Source organism: Homo sapiens, chromosome 11 (genome assembly GCF_000001405.40).
Source record: "Homo sapiens chromosome 11, GRCh38.p14 Primary Assembly".
NCBI lineage: Eukaryota > Metazoa > Chordata > Mammalia > Primates > Hominidae > Homo > Homo sapiens.
This window is the reverse complement of record NC_000011.10, coordinates 117,058,627-117,076,126: the sequence shown is the minus strand read 5'-3', so window position 1 is coordinate 117,076,126 and position 17,500 is coordinate 117,058,627. Positions and strand designations below refer to the sequence as shown.

The following is a 17,500-nucleotide window of genomic DNA, read 5'->3' as shown; positions in this document are numbered from 1 at the left end:
CTGTAATCCCAGCACTTTGGGAGGCTGTGGTGGGTGGATCACCTAAGATCAGGAGTTGGAGACCAGCCTGGCCAACATGGTGAAACCCCGTCTCTACTAAATATGCAAAAATTAGCCAGCCATGGTGGCAGGCGCCTGTAATCCCAGCTACTAGAGAGGCTGAGGCAGGAGAATTGCTTGAACCCAGGAGGTGGAGGTTGCAGTGAGCCGAGATCGTGCATTGCACTCCAGCCTGGGCAACAAGAGCAAAAAACTGTCTCAAAAAAAAAAAAAAAAAAAAAAAAAAGCCAGGCTTGGTGGCTCACGCCTATAATCCCAGCACTTTGGGAGCCAATGTGGGCAGATCATAAGGTCAGGAGATCGAGACCATCTTGGCTAACACTGTGAAACCCCATCTCTACTAAAAATAAAAAAAAAATTAGCCAGGTGTGGTGGCGGGCACCTGTAGTCCCAGCTCCTTGGGAGGCTGAAGCAGGAGAATGGCGTGAACCTGGGAGGCGGAGCTTGCAGTGAGCCGAGATCGTGCCACTGCACTCCAGCCTGGGCAGCAGAGCTGAGATTCCTCAAAAAAAAAAAAAAAGAAAAAAAAATAATCAATAACATAGAATGTGGATATACATAGCACATAGATACGTATAGCAAGTCAGGAAGTTTGCCTAGAAGGAATAAATTAACTCTTGTTACTTGGTGAGATCATGGAAGGGAATGTAATTTGTTTTAGGTGGTGGTAATTGTGAGTTTGAGGCTGGCCCAGGAAATGAGTTGTCAGATATGCTGTCATCCTCATTAATGGTTCAGCTTATTTCTCAGGTTTATAGTTGTATGAGGAGATGCTATGCCTACCCCATTTAGGGAACTATTAGGTTCAAAATCATAAAAGCTAAAGAAGAGTGAAATACAGTGAAAAGTATCCTGTTCACACATACCCCATGATCATCCAGATTTCCCTTCCCAGGGGCAGTTGATATTATCTGTGTCTTATATGTCTTGAGATAGTTTATGTGTATAGAAGTAAATGTAAATATCTACTACTTATTTCCTCTTTTAACACAAATTATAGTAAATAATATACAATAGTCTGCATCTTACTTTTTTCACTCTCGTATCTAATGTTAAAAAAGCTACGTGGTATTCCAATGAAAGGATGTATTATATATATTTTTTAGATATTTCATTTGAGTTGTTTTTTTTTTTTGTTTTGAGACGGAGTCTCTCTCTGTCACCCAGGCTGGAGTGCAATGGCGCGATCTTGACTCACTGCAACCTCCACCTCCCTGGTTCAAGCAATTTCCCTGCCTCAGTCCCCTCAGTAGCTGGGATTACAGGCTCATGCCACCACACCTGGCTAATTTTTTTTTGTATTTTTAGTAGAGACAGGGTTTCACCATGTTGGCTAGACTGGTCCCAAACTCCTGACCTCAGGGAATCCTCCTGCCTGGGCCTCCCAAAGTGCTGGGATTACAGGCGTGAGCCACCACGCCTGGCCTTGAGTTGTTTCTAAGCTGTTGCTAATAAAACAATGCTAGAGGATTTAAAAAAATATGTTAGGGTTTTATATTGACAAGTAAATATTGTCATAATAGAAACTTGCTATACTTATAATAATAATACATCTATAGAACATGTTCATAAATGTCTATTTGAGCCTTCCTGTAAGGTAAGTACAACATTTTATCACTTCATAACTAGTAAAGTGGCAGAAGTAGAGGTAGAACCAAGGTCTTCTGACTCCTATTTGAGTATCTGTCTACTTTACCCAAAATACATATACTGTTGTGGGGCTGTAGGGAAGTGGGGGTGGGAAAATAAGAGGAAGTAGACCTAGGTGGGGCAAGCTTGAGATAGGGATGTATCTGTCATTCTAGAAATTGGGATCCTGTTTGCTAGGAGTAAGTGGAACTGGACATCAGCCTGTTACAGGGACATAAAGGCACTTAGGCACTGGCAGAGCACTATGGTTTGATTGCCATCTTGGAGTACAGTAGTATGGTAAGCCAAAGAGTGGTAGTTCTGGAGAAGCTGGGGACTGTCAGAGCTCCCTAGAATAGACTGAGAGTGAAACAGCATTCACGATTTGCTAAGGAGGCTGGGCTACTAGGAAGGATAAGGTAGGAGCCCAGGAGTTCAGGGCTGCAGTGAATTATGATTGTGCCACTGCATTCTAGCCTTGGCAACAGAGCAAGACCCTGTCTCTTAAAAATATTGGTCAAGACCATAAAACAAGAACATAGGCCATAGTGAAAACATAAAATTTTCTTAGCAGCTGTGGTAGCAAACATGTTAATGGTAAGGAGATAACTGTAATGTTAGTCAATTTTGGCTTAAGACTGAGGACTGAGAAACAGCCTTCTTCCTCCGGAGGAGCAGTTAAGTCATCTTACAACTGGGAGTAGAGAGACAAGGACGTGTGAAGCTGATTCATGCTTTCATTATATAGTTAATACTATTTGGAAACCTGTGTGTAGGTCTGGTCAATAGACTTCCATCTTAATTGCTGTATGCTAAGTGCCTCCTATGTTCTGTATACTTCATATAATTCTTGCTAGCCTTCAACAGCTTTTTACAAAGTAACTATTGTTTTACCTAATTTCTATTGAGAAAAATGAGCTTCACTTAGGTAACTTGTCCAAAGTTCTTTACCTTGTAAGTGGTAGAGCTGAGATTTATAAGTAGGTCTATATGACTCCAGGGCTCTTGTTCTTTCCACGATACCAGGTATTAGGCATCAAAATTGGACAGTAGAATTCTAATCACAGCTGTACATAACCAGAAAGTATGAGTATGGATGAGTGTTAGCATGTAACCAGACAACTTGTCTGTTATGGATGATTTGGGCTGAAAGAGTAGAAGGAATGCTAAGGAAAATGAGCATTGGAGATGTTGAGAGCTCGCAAACTCATGATGAATGTGTATATAATTTAAGTAATGCACTTGCTGTGCATATGTAGAGCCTTAAGATAAAATTTCCAATGCTCCCTTCCCTCATTAGGTTTTTCTTTCTAAAGTCCTTCTATATTGAGATTATATAGCTGCCACTAAAGACTGTAGCTGGTAGTAGCCAGGACCTGGAACTTTTTGGCAAGAGGGTGTTATCTGGAGGATCCAAGTATACTGAGATCAACATAATCATGAATTCTTCTCCCACTGTAAAGTTTGAGGAGGTAAGAATCTCCTTGACTTAGCAAATTTGGGCTTATAAATGCTAGGTCCAACTAGACTTTACTGGCCTCAATCCCTTAGCATTATCCTGCAAAATACTGATGTATACTTTTTGGATAATACCTTTGATCTACTTTCAGCCACCATTGTAGGGAATTGTTAGTATGAGAGGTTGACATTTTGGTTAAATAATCACTTGGAAACTGTGACTCAGCATTAGTCACTGGCTTTCTGCTGGGTTACATTCTCTTGTCTCTTGCCTTAATTGTGGTAAGCCTCAGCCATTTGATTACACAACTACCAAAGAGGATGACCTTAGTGATAACCCATTCACATTTTCAGATAGTAAAAATATTAGGGACAAAATCTTTCATATGTATTAGCGAGTGGTATGGGTTCGCCTCTGGAGAAATGTTAGCACATTTTCCAGGTTTGCCCGATGATATTAAAAGATGAATAGCTATCTTAGTGAAAATAGCTGTTTACACTTTTAGTTAGTAGTTTTTAAAAGTGGAAATGTAACAATATGCTTTTTGGACACAGTCATGTTATTTTATTTTTATTTTTATTTTTATTTTTTTTGAGACGGAGTTTTGCTCTTGTGCAGGCTGGAGTGCCGTGGCATGATCTGGGCTCACTGCAATTTCTGCCTCCCTGGTTCAAGCGATTCTCCTACCTCAGCCTCGCTGGTAGCTGGGATTACAGGCACATGCCACCAGGCCTGGCTAATTTTTGTATTTTTTGTGGAGATGGGGTTTTGCCATGTTGGCCAGGCTGGTCTCGAACTCCTGACCTCTGGTGATCTGCCCACCTTGGCCTCCCAAAGTGCTGGGATTACAGGTGTGAGCCACCACGCCTGGCTGTGGATATAGTCATTTTAGTATTTGAGATTAAATATTAAACCTCATTTGGCGAACTTTAAAACCATCAGTGATTTGAGTTAATTCTACCTGTTTTACCTTATTTTTCACCAGTGTGTGTTTCCTCACTGCCTCATTATATTGCCACATTTAATCTTTCATTAAAACAAACAAACAAACACAACTCTTGGCTGGGTGTGGTGGCTCACACCTGTAATCCCGGTACTTTGGAAGGCTGAGGTGGGAGGATTCCTTGAGTTCTAGACCAGCCTGGTCAACATAGGGAGATTCTCTCTCTCCTGAAAAAAAAAAAAAAAAAAAAAAATTAACCAAGCATGGTGGCACACATCTGTAGTCCCAGCTACTCAATAGGCAAAGTGAGAGGATTGCTTGAGCCTGGGAGGTTGAGGCTGCAGTGAACATGATCAAACCACTGCATTCCAGCCTGGAGGACAGAGCGAGACCCTGTCTTACAAAACAAAACAACAACTCTTGGAATTTCTCTTTTCCCCTCCCTTCTTCTTCCCCTTCTTCCTTCTATTTATCCTTCTGTTTCATCTACAAATATTTGAGTGTCACTGTGTTCTAGGCACTGTGCCAGACATTGGGATTCGTTGGTAAGCAAGAGAGAGAGGCATGGCCTCTGTCCTTATGAGCTTGCAGTTTATCCTAGTGTTACTTATCTAGTCTGCCCTGCCTTCAAGGTTCAGTGGAAGCCCGATCTTCATGTAGTCCTTTGACTTCTTTGGCCCTTGCAAACCTATCCCTTTGACCTATGCTACTTTAAATCTGATTCATACAATTTAGCATTTATTGATATAATTTCTTATACTGTGGGCTAATTGTTTAAATATCTTGTTTTACTGGCTAGAGTATAGTTCCTTAAGGACAGAGACTGTCATGTTATTTTTTTTTTTTTTGCAATACTGAGCCCAAAGGTTTTGATTTCAGTCTGCCCTGCTGAATGTTGAAGTTACTAGTAGCTCTTGGGACTTAGAAGTAGTGATGAGATAATGCCTTGCTTTTTAGTTTATTTTCTATTTTGTTTTATTTTATGTTTCTTTTTTGAAATGGTATTGGGCTGGCCGCAGTGGCTCACGCTTGTAATCTCAGCACTTTGGGAGGCCGACGTGGGTGGATCACCTGGCCAACATGGTGAAACCCCGTCTCTACTAAAAAGACAAAAAGTTAGCCAGGTGTGGTGGCGGGGGCCTGTAATCCCAGCTACTAGGGAGGCTGAGACAGGAGAATTGCTCGAACCCGGGAGGCGGAGGTTGTGGTGAGCTGAGATCGCACCATTGTACTCCAGTGTGGGCAACACGAGTGAAACTTCGTCACAAAAAAAAAAAAAAAAAGAAAAAGGGCCGGGCGCAGTGGCTCACACCTGTAACCCCAGCACTTTGGAAGGCAGAGGCGGGTGGATCACCTGAGGTCAGGAGTTCGAGACCAGCCTGGCCAACATGGCGAAACCCTGTCTCTACTAAAAATACAAAAATTAGCTCGTGTGATGGCGGGCGCCTGTCATCCCAACTACTGAGGAGGCTGAGGCAGGAGAATCTCTTGAACCCAGGAGATGGAGGTTGCAGTGAGCCGAGATCGTGCCATTGCACTCCAGCCTGGGCGACAAGAGTGAAACTCTGTCTCAAAAAAGAAAAAAAAAAAAAGGTATTGTTCAGTCATCCAGGCTGGAGTAAAGTGGCACAATCATGGCTCACTGCAGCCTTGAATTACTGGGCTCAAGTGATCTTCTTATCTTAGCTTCCTGAGTAGCTGGGATTACAGGCAGTAGCGACCATGCCTGGTAGATTATCCCTTTAAAAAAATTCCTTCTAGTTGTTTGCCTAATATTTGTTATCTGCTTCTGTTAATCTGTGCTAAAAATGAGTGGAAATGACCTTACTGATTCACTATTTGCATTTATATTGTTTTCTAGTGAAGGGGTTGTATTTGAGGTTACCATTGCATAGCTTCTCATCTAGTTCTCCTTGTGACATTATAATGAGGGATGCATTTCATGACTAAGGAATAGAGCTAAGCTAATGTTGATCTCTTAGTAGCATGTTGTAATCTTTTGGGCTTAAATGCCCTATCACTATGCCTTAGTTCATGAAGTGTTAAAAGTAACTCACCTAAAATGGGAAGCGGAGAATGTAATAACTTAAAGATCAAAATCGAATTTCTCATAAAGATTTTTAGAAATAGAAAATAATCTTTTAATGGGCCAACATTATTTACATTTTATGATGTTAGAGATCAAAACTCTTCCTGAGTAGTAAATGAATGTGGCGACTTAAATGTGAAGGAGGGAGGCTGTGTGATTGACTTAAATGTTTTTCTGAATGTGCTAAAAGCTCTGAGGTAATGGCAAACTTCAATATTGGAAATAGAAGGGATATATTCTTTATTAAGAAGGAGAATAGAGGGTACTGGGGGAAGGAAATGCTCTTTTGCCTACACTTAAAAATTAAGAAGGTAAGTATATGAAATTGAAGGGGTAAAAGACCACAGAGCAGGAGACAAGGAAACCGTTATTTCCCTCTGAAATAATTCTAGATGGTGATTTGAACAAACCAGTTGCTAAAAAACTTATATGATAATTGGGGCAGTTTGAACATTGACTGGGTATCTGATGTTAAGGAATTATTCTCTTCAGATGGGGCAGTAGTATGGTGGTCATATTGCAGACAAAAAGTACTTACCTTTTAGAAATATATACTGAAATACATATGGATGACGGAATGTGTCTGAGATTTGCTGGGGGAAAGGAAGAAGTGGTCAGCAGTATAGATAAAATGGCCATGTATTTATTTATAACTGTCTAAGCTGGCTGATGGGTACAAGAGGCACATTGTATTATTTCTTTCTACTTATATATATGTTTGAAAATTTCCATAAAATAACAACAACAAACCCCCCCCCCCCCAAAAAAAAATCTTAACAACTACCAGAACTGGCAGAATTGTCAAGCCTACCCCTTTATCTTCTTTCTCTCTAATTTTAGATGGGCAAGTAAAGCCATAGATTCATGCTGATGTTTCCAAATGGGAATGCAGTTTAGATTTCCATCCCCTTAAGTTTCAATCTATCTGTAGTGCAGCATCACTGAGAGAACAAGCCCTGCTATTTTCCCAGCAGTGTGGTAAGTTACAACAGGGTAGGAGTCATACTACCCATCTTTAAGGCTCTTCCTCCTTATAGGTGAAGAAATAAGATTTAAAAAGCAAAACATAATTAGAGAATAGGAAAATGTGGTTTAAAATTATATGTCATATTTTATAGTTCTGGCCAAACATAAGAAATTCTAGAGAAAGGAAAGAACATTTTGGGTTAGGAATAACCAAAGGCTTTTCTTTTGAAACAGGGTCTCACTCTGTCACCCAGTTTGGAGTGCAGTGGTGCATTTATGGCTCACTGTGGCCTCAACCGCTTGGGCTCGCTGCAGCCTCAGCCTCCTGGGCTCAGCTGCCTGAGTAGCTGGGACTACAGGCATGCGCCACCTGTCCAGCTAATTTTTGTATTACTTTAGAGATAGGGTCTCGCTATATTGCCCAGGCTGGTTTCAAACTCCTGGGCTCAAGTGACCCTCCTACTTTGGCCTCGCAAAGTGCTAGGTTTACAGGCATGAGCCATCATGCCAGACCACAAAGACATTTTTTATTAGGCCAGTGGATGTTCGGATCATCTTTAAACAACATTGAAAGTTGAATTGCTGACAGTAATATGGGGATAGCATTCCAGGGAGAGAAAATACTATGTTTGGTGGAGAATAGATGAATTTGGATTGGGGAACAGAAGATATTTTTGATGGGTAGGATGGGGTCATTTCATAAAGGACATGAATTTTTAGTTGAGACATTTGGGCTTGATCTTATAGACCTTAAGGAGCCATTTTTGGGGTGTGGGGAACCATTTTTGACCCTTAAGCTACCTAAGTATTTATTAATTTGGTTTGATGATAATATTGTGTATTCTTAGTTGCAGGCTTTTGCATAGAGAGTATAACTTGACTTTGTAGCCTTTACATTCTTTTTAACATAAATTTGTTATTTCCACAGTGTTCCAAAAGTTATTCAGGGACCAGAATTAATATTTATTTTTTACAAATTATTTATTTATTTATTTTTGAGACAGGGTCTTGTTCTGTTGCCCAGGCTGGAGTGCAGTGGCGCGATCTCGGCTCACTGCAGCCTCCGCCTCCCGGGTTGAAGCGATTCTGCCTCAACCTCCCCAGTAGCTTGGACTACAGGTGCCTGTCACCATGCCCAGCTAATTTTTGTATTTTTAGTAGAGATGGGGTTTCACCATGTTGGCCTGGCTGGTTTCGAACTCCTGACCTCAAGTGATCCTCCCGCCTTGGCCTCTCAAAGTGCTGGGATTACAGGCATGAGCCACCGTGCCTGGCCACATTTTGATATTTTTAATCAACTTTATTGAGGCATAATTTACATTCAATAAGATTGAACCATTTTAAGTTTACAATTTGAATTTTGACAAATATACACACCCATTTAATAACCATACAATCAAGATACAGAACAATTCAGTCTCGCAGAAAGTTACAGTAGCACTGTTTGCATTCATTCTCATCCTCCTCCACTTCCAGAAAACCACTGATTTGCTGTCACCATAGGTTAGTTTTGCTTTTTCTGGAATTTCATATAAATGGCCTCATCTAGGATGTACTCTTCTTTCATCAGCATTCTTTAAGATTCATTTATTGTTGTTTGTATCAGAGTTTGTTGTTTTTTATTGCTGAGTGGTAATCTGAGTAGTGTTACATTGTATGGATGTAACAAGATTTGTTTATTCATTCACCTATTGATGAACATTTGGATTGTGTCTGGTTTTCTTGCTTTTATGAATAAGGCTGTTATGAACTTCATGTACAGCTTTGCGTAGATGTATGTTTTCATTTCTCTTAGGTAAATACCTTACAGTGGAATGGCTGGGTCATATGGTTGGTAGGTTTATGTTTAACTTTTAAAGAAACTGCCAAATTGTCTTCCAAAGTTGCCGTACCATTTTATATTCTCTTTAGCAATATATGAGATAGGAGAGTTCTAGTTGCTTTAAATCCTTACCATTGCTAAAATGATATATCTTAAATTTTAGTTGTTCCAATAGTTGTGTCATGGTATCTTGTGGTTTTAATTTACATTTCCCTAATGACTAATGATATTGAGTATCTTTTTATGTACTTATTTTCATGCTGTGTATCTTCTTTGGTGAAGCATTTGTTCAGATCTTTTGCTCATTAAAAGAAATGGGCTGACCGGGCACAGTGGCTCATGCATGCCTGTAATCCCAGCACTTTGGGAGGCCAAAGTGGGAGGACCACTTGAAGCCAGGAGTTCGAGACCACCCTGGGCAACAAGCGACACTCTGTCTCTACAAAAAACTTAAGAATTAGCTGGGTGCTTGGCATGTGCCTTTAGTCCCAGCTATTCAGGAGTTTAAGGTGGGGGGATCACTTGAGCCTAGCTGTTTAAGGCTGCAGTGAGCTGTGATGGTGCCATTGCACTCCAACTTGAGTGACAGAGCAAGACCCTGTCTTTCCAAAAAAAAAAAAAAAAGGATTGTTTCTTTATAGTTGAATATTGAGAATTCTTTATATATCCTGGATACAAGTCCTGTGTTATATAAATGCTTTACGCTTTGCAAAGATTTTTTTTTTTTCCGATTCCATGGCTTATTTTTTCATTCTTTCAGCAGTGTCTTTTGAAGAGCAAGAGTTTTTAGAGGCCAGGTGCGGTGGCTCACGCCTGTAATCCCAGTACTTTGGGAGGCCGAGTTGGGTGGATCACTTAAGGTCAGGAGTTTGAGACCAGCCTGACCAACATGGTGAAACCTCATCTCTATGAAAATACAAAAATTAGCCAGACATGGTGGCGTGTGCCTGTAATCCCAGCTACTCAGGAGGCTGAGGCAGGAGAATCACTTGAATCCGGAGGCGGAGGTTGCAGTGAGCTGAGGTCACACCACTGCACTCCAGCCTGGGTGACAGAGCAAAACTCCATCTCAAAAAAAAAAAAAAGAAGAAAAGAAAAGAAAAATAAAGTATTCTAGTGAAGACCGGATTCCTTGGCATAAGACACCAGGAATTTTAGATTGATAGGAGTAAAAATAAATAAAGAAATATTGGCTCAGGGAATAAACTTCATTAAAATCAATTTATGGGCCAGGTTTGGCGGCTCACACCTGTAATTGTGCAGCACTTTGGGAGACTGAGGTGGGCAGATCACTTGGGGCCAGGAGTTCGAGACCAGCCTGGCCAACAGAGTGAAGCCCTGTCTCTACTGAAAATACAAAAATTAGCCAGGTGTGGTGGTGCATGCCTGTAATACCAGCTACTAGGGTGGCTGAGGCAGATGAATTGCTTGAATCCTGGAGGTAGTGGTTGCAGTGAGCTGAGATCGTGCCACTACACTCCAACAGTGTGAGACTCTGTGTCAAAAAAAAAAAAAAATCAATTTATGAAAGTTATTTTTAAATTTGAAGATATTGAAGATACTAAATTTGTGTTTAAAAAGCATTTATTTTGATCAACTCCGCTGTATAGAATATTTTGTCTTAAGTCACTGTAAAGTTTCCATGCCCTCAAATGAAATACAGTGCCAGGTTTAACATTCGTTTTCATGGATTGTTTTCAAAAGTTATTGAGTTGTCTGATTTGCTGTAAAAAAAATGAAAAATTCATTTCTTTTATTAACATGATGTATTTACTGTGATTATTCTAATAGACTAATGGACTTTTAATTTTACTGTTTAAAATAGTTTATAATTAAAATTTAATATCCAGTCTTCACTTGTTCTTTCATTTTTTAAAATAATAAAGTAGTTTGGGGTTTATCAGAACAAGGGAAGAAACCAAGCTACGTCTCATTTTATGTTGGGTAAGAATCACTAGAGACGAAATTATTATTATTATTATTGTTATTATTATTATTATTATTATTTTTGAGATGGAGTCTCCCTGTGTCACCCAGGCTGGAGTGCAGTGGTGCAATCTCAGCTCGCTGCAACCTCTGCCTGCTGGGTTCAAGCAGTTCTTCTGCCTCAGCCTCCCGAGTAGCTGGGACTACAGGCGTGTGCCACCTTGCCCAGCTAATTTTTTGTATTTTTAGTGGAGATGGGGTTTCACCATGCTGACCGGGCTGGTTTTGAACTCCTGACCTCGTGATCTGCCCACCTCGGCTTCCCAAAGTGCTGGGATTACAGGCGTGAGCCACCGCCTGGCCGACAAAGTTACTTTCTATGGGATCAATTCCTGAGTTTTATCTAACACGAGAATTTTAGCAATTAAAAGTCAAGTGCAGTTCAGATATATTAGTTTAGGTAATATTTTTAGTGTTTGAAGAGAGCTCAATTTGTAAGCCATTTAGCTACTAATTACCCTGCCTTTGCTGTAGAAAGAACTTAAATGAAAGACCTGTTTTAAGATGCCTTTTTAAAAAGCAGCCGTTGTAGGTATAAGAGTTGAAAAATCAAGATCTAGGCAGCAGTGGAGAATTATGAAGTCTGATAAGATAATATGCTAAAATTGTATTGTTAATTCTGATTTGTGACAGTGCTTATCAGTAGAAAAGAAATGTGATCTGTGGTTAAAGACTGAACTGCCACTAAATGTAAAATGTTTTTTAGATGAGTTGGAAGAATGCTGAACCAGTCTTTATTGCCCAAGATGGCTTTGAGTCAGCAATCTCAAAGAATAAAGAAAAAGGAGTTAAGAGTGAGAGGCAATAAGTAATATGCTGTTTTCATTTAAGATGTCTTGAAGAGATAATTAAAAAGTTGTAGGGGTATAGGAATTGTGATGTTTCTCTGGTGTTAATGAAGTCTACTATAAATTAGATAATACAGGCACTCTAAATTATTGTTTTTCCTTTTTTAAATTCTTGGCAGTTACTGACAAATTATACTCAGGATCAAGTTTAAGTCTCAGTACATGAATGACCCTGACATTGAAAACCCTGAAGGATGTTGACCTTAGTTTTGACCTGGCTTTATCCTGAGCAGCCTCTGTGAATTCTTAATGCTGTGCTCTTTAACAGGGGTACTTTTTCCAGATGTTTTTGATACTGTATTCATTAACATATAATAAAGTTATCAGTGTCCCTGAAGGCTAATTTTTTTTTTCTGACTGAATATGAGATATGGAGCGTGCAATTTGTACTTATTGGTATTAACATTACCAACAAGGTTTGTCTTTTTCTTATAAGATGGGGAATCTTAAGAAACTTCAGGCCAGGCGTGGTGGCTCATGCCTGTAATCCTAGCTTTGGGAAGCTGAAGTGGGGCGAATCACTTGAGATCAGGAGTTCGAGAACAGCCTGGCCAAGGTGAAACCCCGTCTCTACTAAAAATACAAAAAATTAGCCAGGCGTAGTGGTGGATGCCTGTAATTCCAGCTACTTGGGAGGCTGAGGCCCGGGAGACAGAGGTTGCAGTGAGCCGAGATCATGCCATTACACTCCAGCCTGGGCAACAGGGTGAGATTCCATCTAAAAAAAAAAAAAAAAAAGAAACTTCATTAAGAAGTTAAAGCCTGGGTATGCTCTCCTTGATAATTTCTTTTTACTCACATCTTTATTGGTAAATCAGGCCAGAAGGATTATTTACCTTTTCAGAAAGGGAAACTAGGTTCTACGGTTTGGTTACAGATAGCCTGGCAGCTGACTTTACATTGGGCAGAGGAGACTGCCGTACTTAGTGGTTCTGAGAAACCAAGAGAGTATTGCCTGCTACAGCTATGAGAAAAGGTATTGAATCTTCCCCCTCCTTTGTGGGGGAATTCCAATCTCACTAATTTATGGTTTCAGTGTAGTTATGGTCATAGCTTCTGAGACGTGGGTACTCATTGAAGCTAACAGTTTTAGAGAAAGGGGAGGGTGTTTAATTCCAATAACTGGTAGTTTATATCACTTTAATAATTTAGACCCAATGATATGAAGATTAGTTAGTATAAGGCAGATATACATGTAATACATTCTTTTAAATATTGTACAAGGAGTAAGAAACCCCTTTAAGTAGTCATGTAATTCATTATAGCAGCTGAACATTTCTAAGTGCAACATTATAGGAAACCAGTAAAGCTGATTTCTGATTTATCTGCAGCAAAAGAATTTAATATTCCAACTTCAGCAAAAGGCAATTAAAAACAAACTTAAATCACATTGTGTGCTTTTAATACGTATGTTTTTTTCCATGCTGTCTGATGTATTTTAGTTCTTAGTCATTTACTTCCATTAGTTTCCAAATTGGTTGAGGGAATTAAATTGGTAGCCAAGTTACCTATACAAGATTTTCCTACTGTGTATGTGAACCACTCTTTCTGGGAAAATCCTCCCGTTGGCACTTTTCTTGAAGGCATGCACTTTTTCCACACTTAGTGATTTGGGGACTGAAGCCTGCATTTAGCCTGTATTTAGTCAGAGGTGACAAATGGCTAAATTTTTTTTTTCCAGTTTAGAGATTGAGAAATGATTCAGAATTGAAACTAAAGTGAATTTGGACTTACTGTATTTCTTTGCAATTACTTTTAAACAATTGCTGTCTGTTACTATTAGGCATATTTTGGACCTATGGGTTCCATTTTGGGCCGATATTTGGTGTTATGTTGTTAAATTTCTTGCCTGGCTTAGATGGTTCATTGTTGAAACTAAACTGGAACTAGGTTTGATCAGAGGGCCAATGGAAATGCACGTTGTGGCCCATTTGGGGAGGACAAAATTTGACATATTTTTACTTTAAGAATTCTTAGGAAAATTTGGATAACGTGAGAATATATTTCCAAAGGGTTAAGTAATTTTCGAGGGAAAATCAGAAAGCTTGTAATTCCTACTGAAAATATTAGCCTGCTGAAATATTAGCCTATTTCCTACTGAAAATATAACATTAGCAGGCCGGGCACAGTGGAGTTCACGCCTGGCTAATTTTTGTATTTTTAGTAGAGATGGGGTTTCACCATGTTGGCCAGGCTGGTCTTGAACTCCTGACCTCAAATGATCTGCCTACCTACGCCTCCCAAAGTGCTGGGATTACAGGCGTGAACCACTGTGCCTGGCTTGACTTTTTTATTTAAAAAAAAAAAATCTATACCCAATTGCCCTATCAGTTTATCATTTACTCACTTATTTGAAACGGTCATATTAACATACACTCTTTATTTATTTATGTGCCTATACTTTGTTTTAATTACTGTATCTTTAGAATATGTTTCAAAATTTCATTAACTATTATAATTGATTCTCTTTTTTTGTAACGTATCATCAGCAAATAATAATTTGGACTCTTCTAATATTTCTGCTTATTTATTGACATTTTCAAAGAATAGCTTATGATTGATAATAATCATACCAGCGAATACAGTGCTTTTCAACTTAAATATGCACAGCAATTACCTGAGGATCTTATTAAAATGAAGACTCAGTAGGGCTGGAGTGGCCTGAGAGTCTGCATTTTGACAAGCTCCCAGGTAATGTTGACTTATGGGTTCATAGACCTTATGTTGAGTTACAGGGAACTAAGATTTATTGAGTACTTAATTTGTTCTGGTCAGTGCTTTTACATCTGTGAACTCGTTTAATCTTTAAAACTCCATGATGATTATTATCCCCAATTTGCCAGTGAAGAAACTGACACTTAGAGAAGTTTATAACTTACCCAAAGTGACGCAACCATTAAGTGGAAGAGCCAGACTGAGCCCAAGCAGAGTTTGCACTCTGAACCTCTCGAATATATTGCTTTACCACATGCGTGTTCGCTCACACACACACACAACAGACATTATCTTCTCTTGTGTGACTCAAATGGTAATACCTTAAAATTTTTTTTTTAATGAATAGGCTTTATTTTATCTATTTTTTGAGATGGGGTCTTGCTCTGTTGCCCAGGAGTGCAGTGGTATGATCGCAGCTTACCACAGCCCTGAACTTCTGGGCTCAAGCCATCTTCCTGCCTCAGCCTCCTGAGTAGCTGGGACTACCGGTGTGTGCCACCATGCCCAACTAATTTTTAATTTTTGATAGAGACGAGGTCTTACTGTGTTAGCCCTGCCTGGTCTCAAACTCCTGGCCTCAAGCGATCCCTTCACCTCAGCCTCCAAAAGTTCTGATATTACAGGTGTGAGCCACAGCATCTGGCCAGGCTTTATGTTGAGAAGTTTAGAGTTTACAGAAAAGTTGAGCAGAAAGTACGGAGAAATCCCACATATCCCATTATCTCTGCCTGTCCTCACGATTTTCCCTGATATTAACATCTTGCATTAGTGTGGTACATTTGCTACAATTGATGAGCAATATTGGTACATTAACTAAAATTCATAGTTTACATTAGAATCCATAGTTTGTGTTGCACATTTGTAAGAGTTTTCACAAATTTGTAATGTTGCATATCCATTATTACAGTATCATACAGAATAATTTCACTACCCTAAGAATTCCCTGTGCTGTACCTATTCATCCCTTCCTCTCCTCAGTCCCTGGCAATCACTGATTTTTTTTTTTTTTTTTGAGATGGAGTTTTGCTCTTGTCATCCAGGCTGGAGTGCAATGGCATGCTCTCGGCTCACTGCAAACTCTGCCTCTCGGGTTCAAGCGATTCTCCTCCCTCAGCCTCCCGAGTAGCTGGGATTACAGGCATGCGCCACCACGCCTGGCTAATTTTTATATTTTTAGTAGAGATGGGGTTTCACCATGTTGGCCAGGTTGGTCTCGAACTCCTGATCTCAGGTGATCCGCCTGCCTCGGCCTCTCAAAGTGCTGGGATTACAGGCATGAGCCACCTCGCCTGGCCAATCACTGATCTTTTTACTGTCTCCATAGTTTTGATGTTACCAGAATGGCATTATTGCATGTAGCCTTTTCAGATTGACTTTTTTTCACTTAGTAAAGTGCATTTAGGTTTCCTCCAAGTTTTTTCATGGTTTGATAGCTCATTGTTTTTAGCACTAATATTCCATTGTCTGGATTTCCACTGTTTATTTACCCATTCACCTATTAAGGAACTTGTTGGTTGCTTTCAACTTTTTTCAACTATGAATAAAGCTGCTATAAACATCTGTCTGCAGGTTTTGTGTGGATATATGTTTTCAGCTCATTTGGCTAAATACCAAAGACAGAACTGCGTGATCATATAGTAAGAGAATGTTTAGTTTTCTAGAAACTGCCAAACTGTCTTACAAAGTGGCTGTACTATTTTGCTTTCCCACCAGCAGTAAATGAGAGTTCCTGTTGTTCTATATCCTTACCAGCATTTGATGTTGTCACTGCTTTGAATTTTAGCCATTCTAATAGGTATGTGGTGTCTCGTTGTTGTTTTAATTTGCAGTAGCCTAGTAACATATGATGTTTAGCATCTTTTCATACACTATTTGCCATCTGTATATATCGGTGAGGTATCTGATCATATCTTTTGCCCATTTTAAAATTGGGATGTTTGTTTTCTTATTGTTGAGTTTTAAGAGTTCTTTGTATATTTTGGATACCAGTGCTTCACCAGATAGGTATTTTGCAAAGATTTTCTTCTAGCCTGTGGCTTGTTTATGCCTTTAGTTTTTTACCATTAAATATGTTGCTTGCTGTCTGGTTGTGACAAATAATCATCAAGTTAAGAAAGCTTCTTTCTTTGTCTCTCTAAGAGCTTTTGTCAGGAATGGCTATTCAGGGAAGTCCTTGAAAATTATTTGGCTAAACAAATAGATTAAGCTTTGTTTTTAGCAAGACATCCTGTTTTATTCCATATAATTAAAAACACATTCTTTATAGTGTGATATTAAGACTGTAACTGAGACTTTAATTCCTATTCCTTCTAAATCATTTTCTCTTACTCTGTGATTTTGTATGCCTTTAATGTCCATGTTGATTACTTGTCCAGCATCTTAATCTCATCTGACTTGGTCTTTCTTCTCCCAGCTATCTGTTCTTCCACTTCTCTGTAGCAATTTATTTCTGTGGCCAAACGTCCACTTCTGGAATTACAAATCTGTAAATTTTTCTCTTTGAACACAATTTCCTGTCTTTTCAGTTCTTCCATTTGCTGAGTTTATTTTCTCATTTCACTGAGGCCGCCAGCCCCTTAAATCTCCATTGTCTCCCAATTTGTGACATTCTTCCTGGCATCACTTTATCCCATATGGATGCCATAATTGGTCACTTTCAATGAGTCATCAGTATCCGCAGTTCTCCTGCATCTTTGTTCTTCTTTCCCACATGCCATGCAGATCTCCAGCTGTGGATTAACAGTACTGCCCTTTTTCTGTGTTCCCGCTCTAGGGCCTGAAGAAATGATTTCATCATATTAATTTGTTCTTTTGCTAATCCATGGGTTTTAGCCTCATCTGTGCTTATTATTCTCTTTAGTAGTTTTCTCACTTGTTTGGAGTTGATTTCATTTCTCCTTCACCAGAATGACAGTTCTTTCTAAATCTTTCCACATTTTCCTTTGGTTCGTGTCACCTTCCTCCATTGCAGCTGATTCTACAC

At 39.4% G+C, this 17,500-nt stretch overlaps 1 protein-coding gene across 15 annotated transcripts in view, besides 3 other annotated features; it reads left to right on the top strand.

Moving 5' to 3' along the window:
- The window catches only part of SIK3 (SIK family kinase 3), a 255,027-nt gene that overhangs the window by 22,302 nt on the left and 215,225 nt on the right, over positions 1 to 17,500 (top strand). The window lies entirely within an intron of this gene.
- Positions 11,517 to 11,717: a silencer, noted in NCBI's record as "peak1487 fragment used in MPRA reporter construct". NCBI's record gives its function as "represses an SCP1 promoter by STARR-seq MPRAs in K562 erythroleukemia cells {active_cell/tissue: K562}" and the evidence as "EXISTENCE:reporter gene assay evidence [ECO:0000049][PMID:32103011]".
- Positions 12,499 to 12,598: an enhancer, noted in NCBI's record as "active region_5563". NCBI's record gives its function as "activates an Ori minimal core promoter by ATAC-STARR-seq in GM12878 lymphoblastoid cells {active_cell/tissue: GM12878}" and the evidence as "EXISTENCE:reporter gene assay evidence [ECO:0000049][PMID:35858748]".
- Positions 12,779 to 12,888: an enhancer, noted in NCBI's record as "active region_5562". NCBI's record gives its function as "activates an Ori minimal core promoter by ATAC-STARR-seq in GM12878 lymphoblastoid cells {active_cell/tissue: GM12878}" and the evidence as "EXISTENCE:reporter gene assay evidence [ECO:0000049][PMID:35858748]".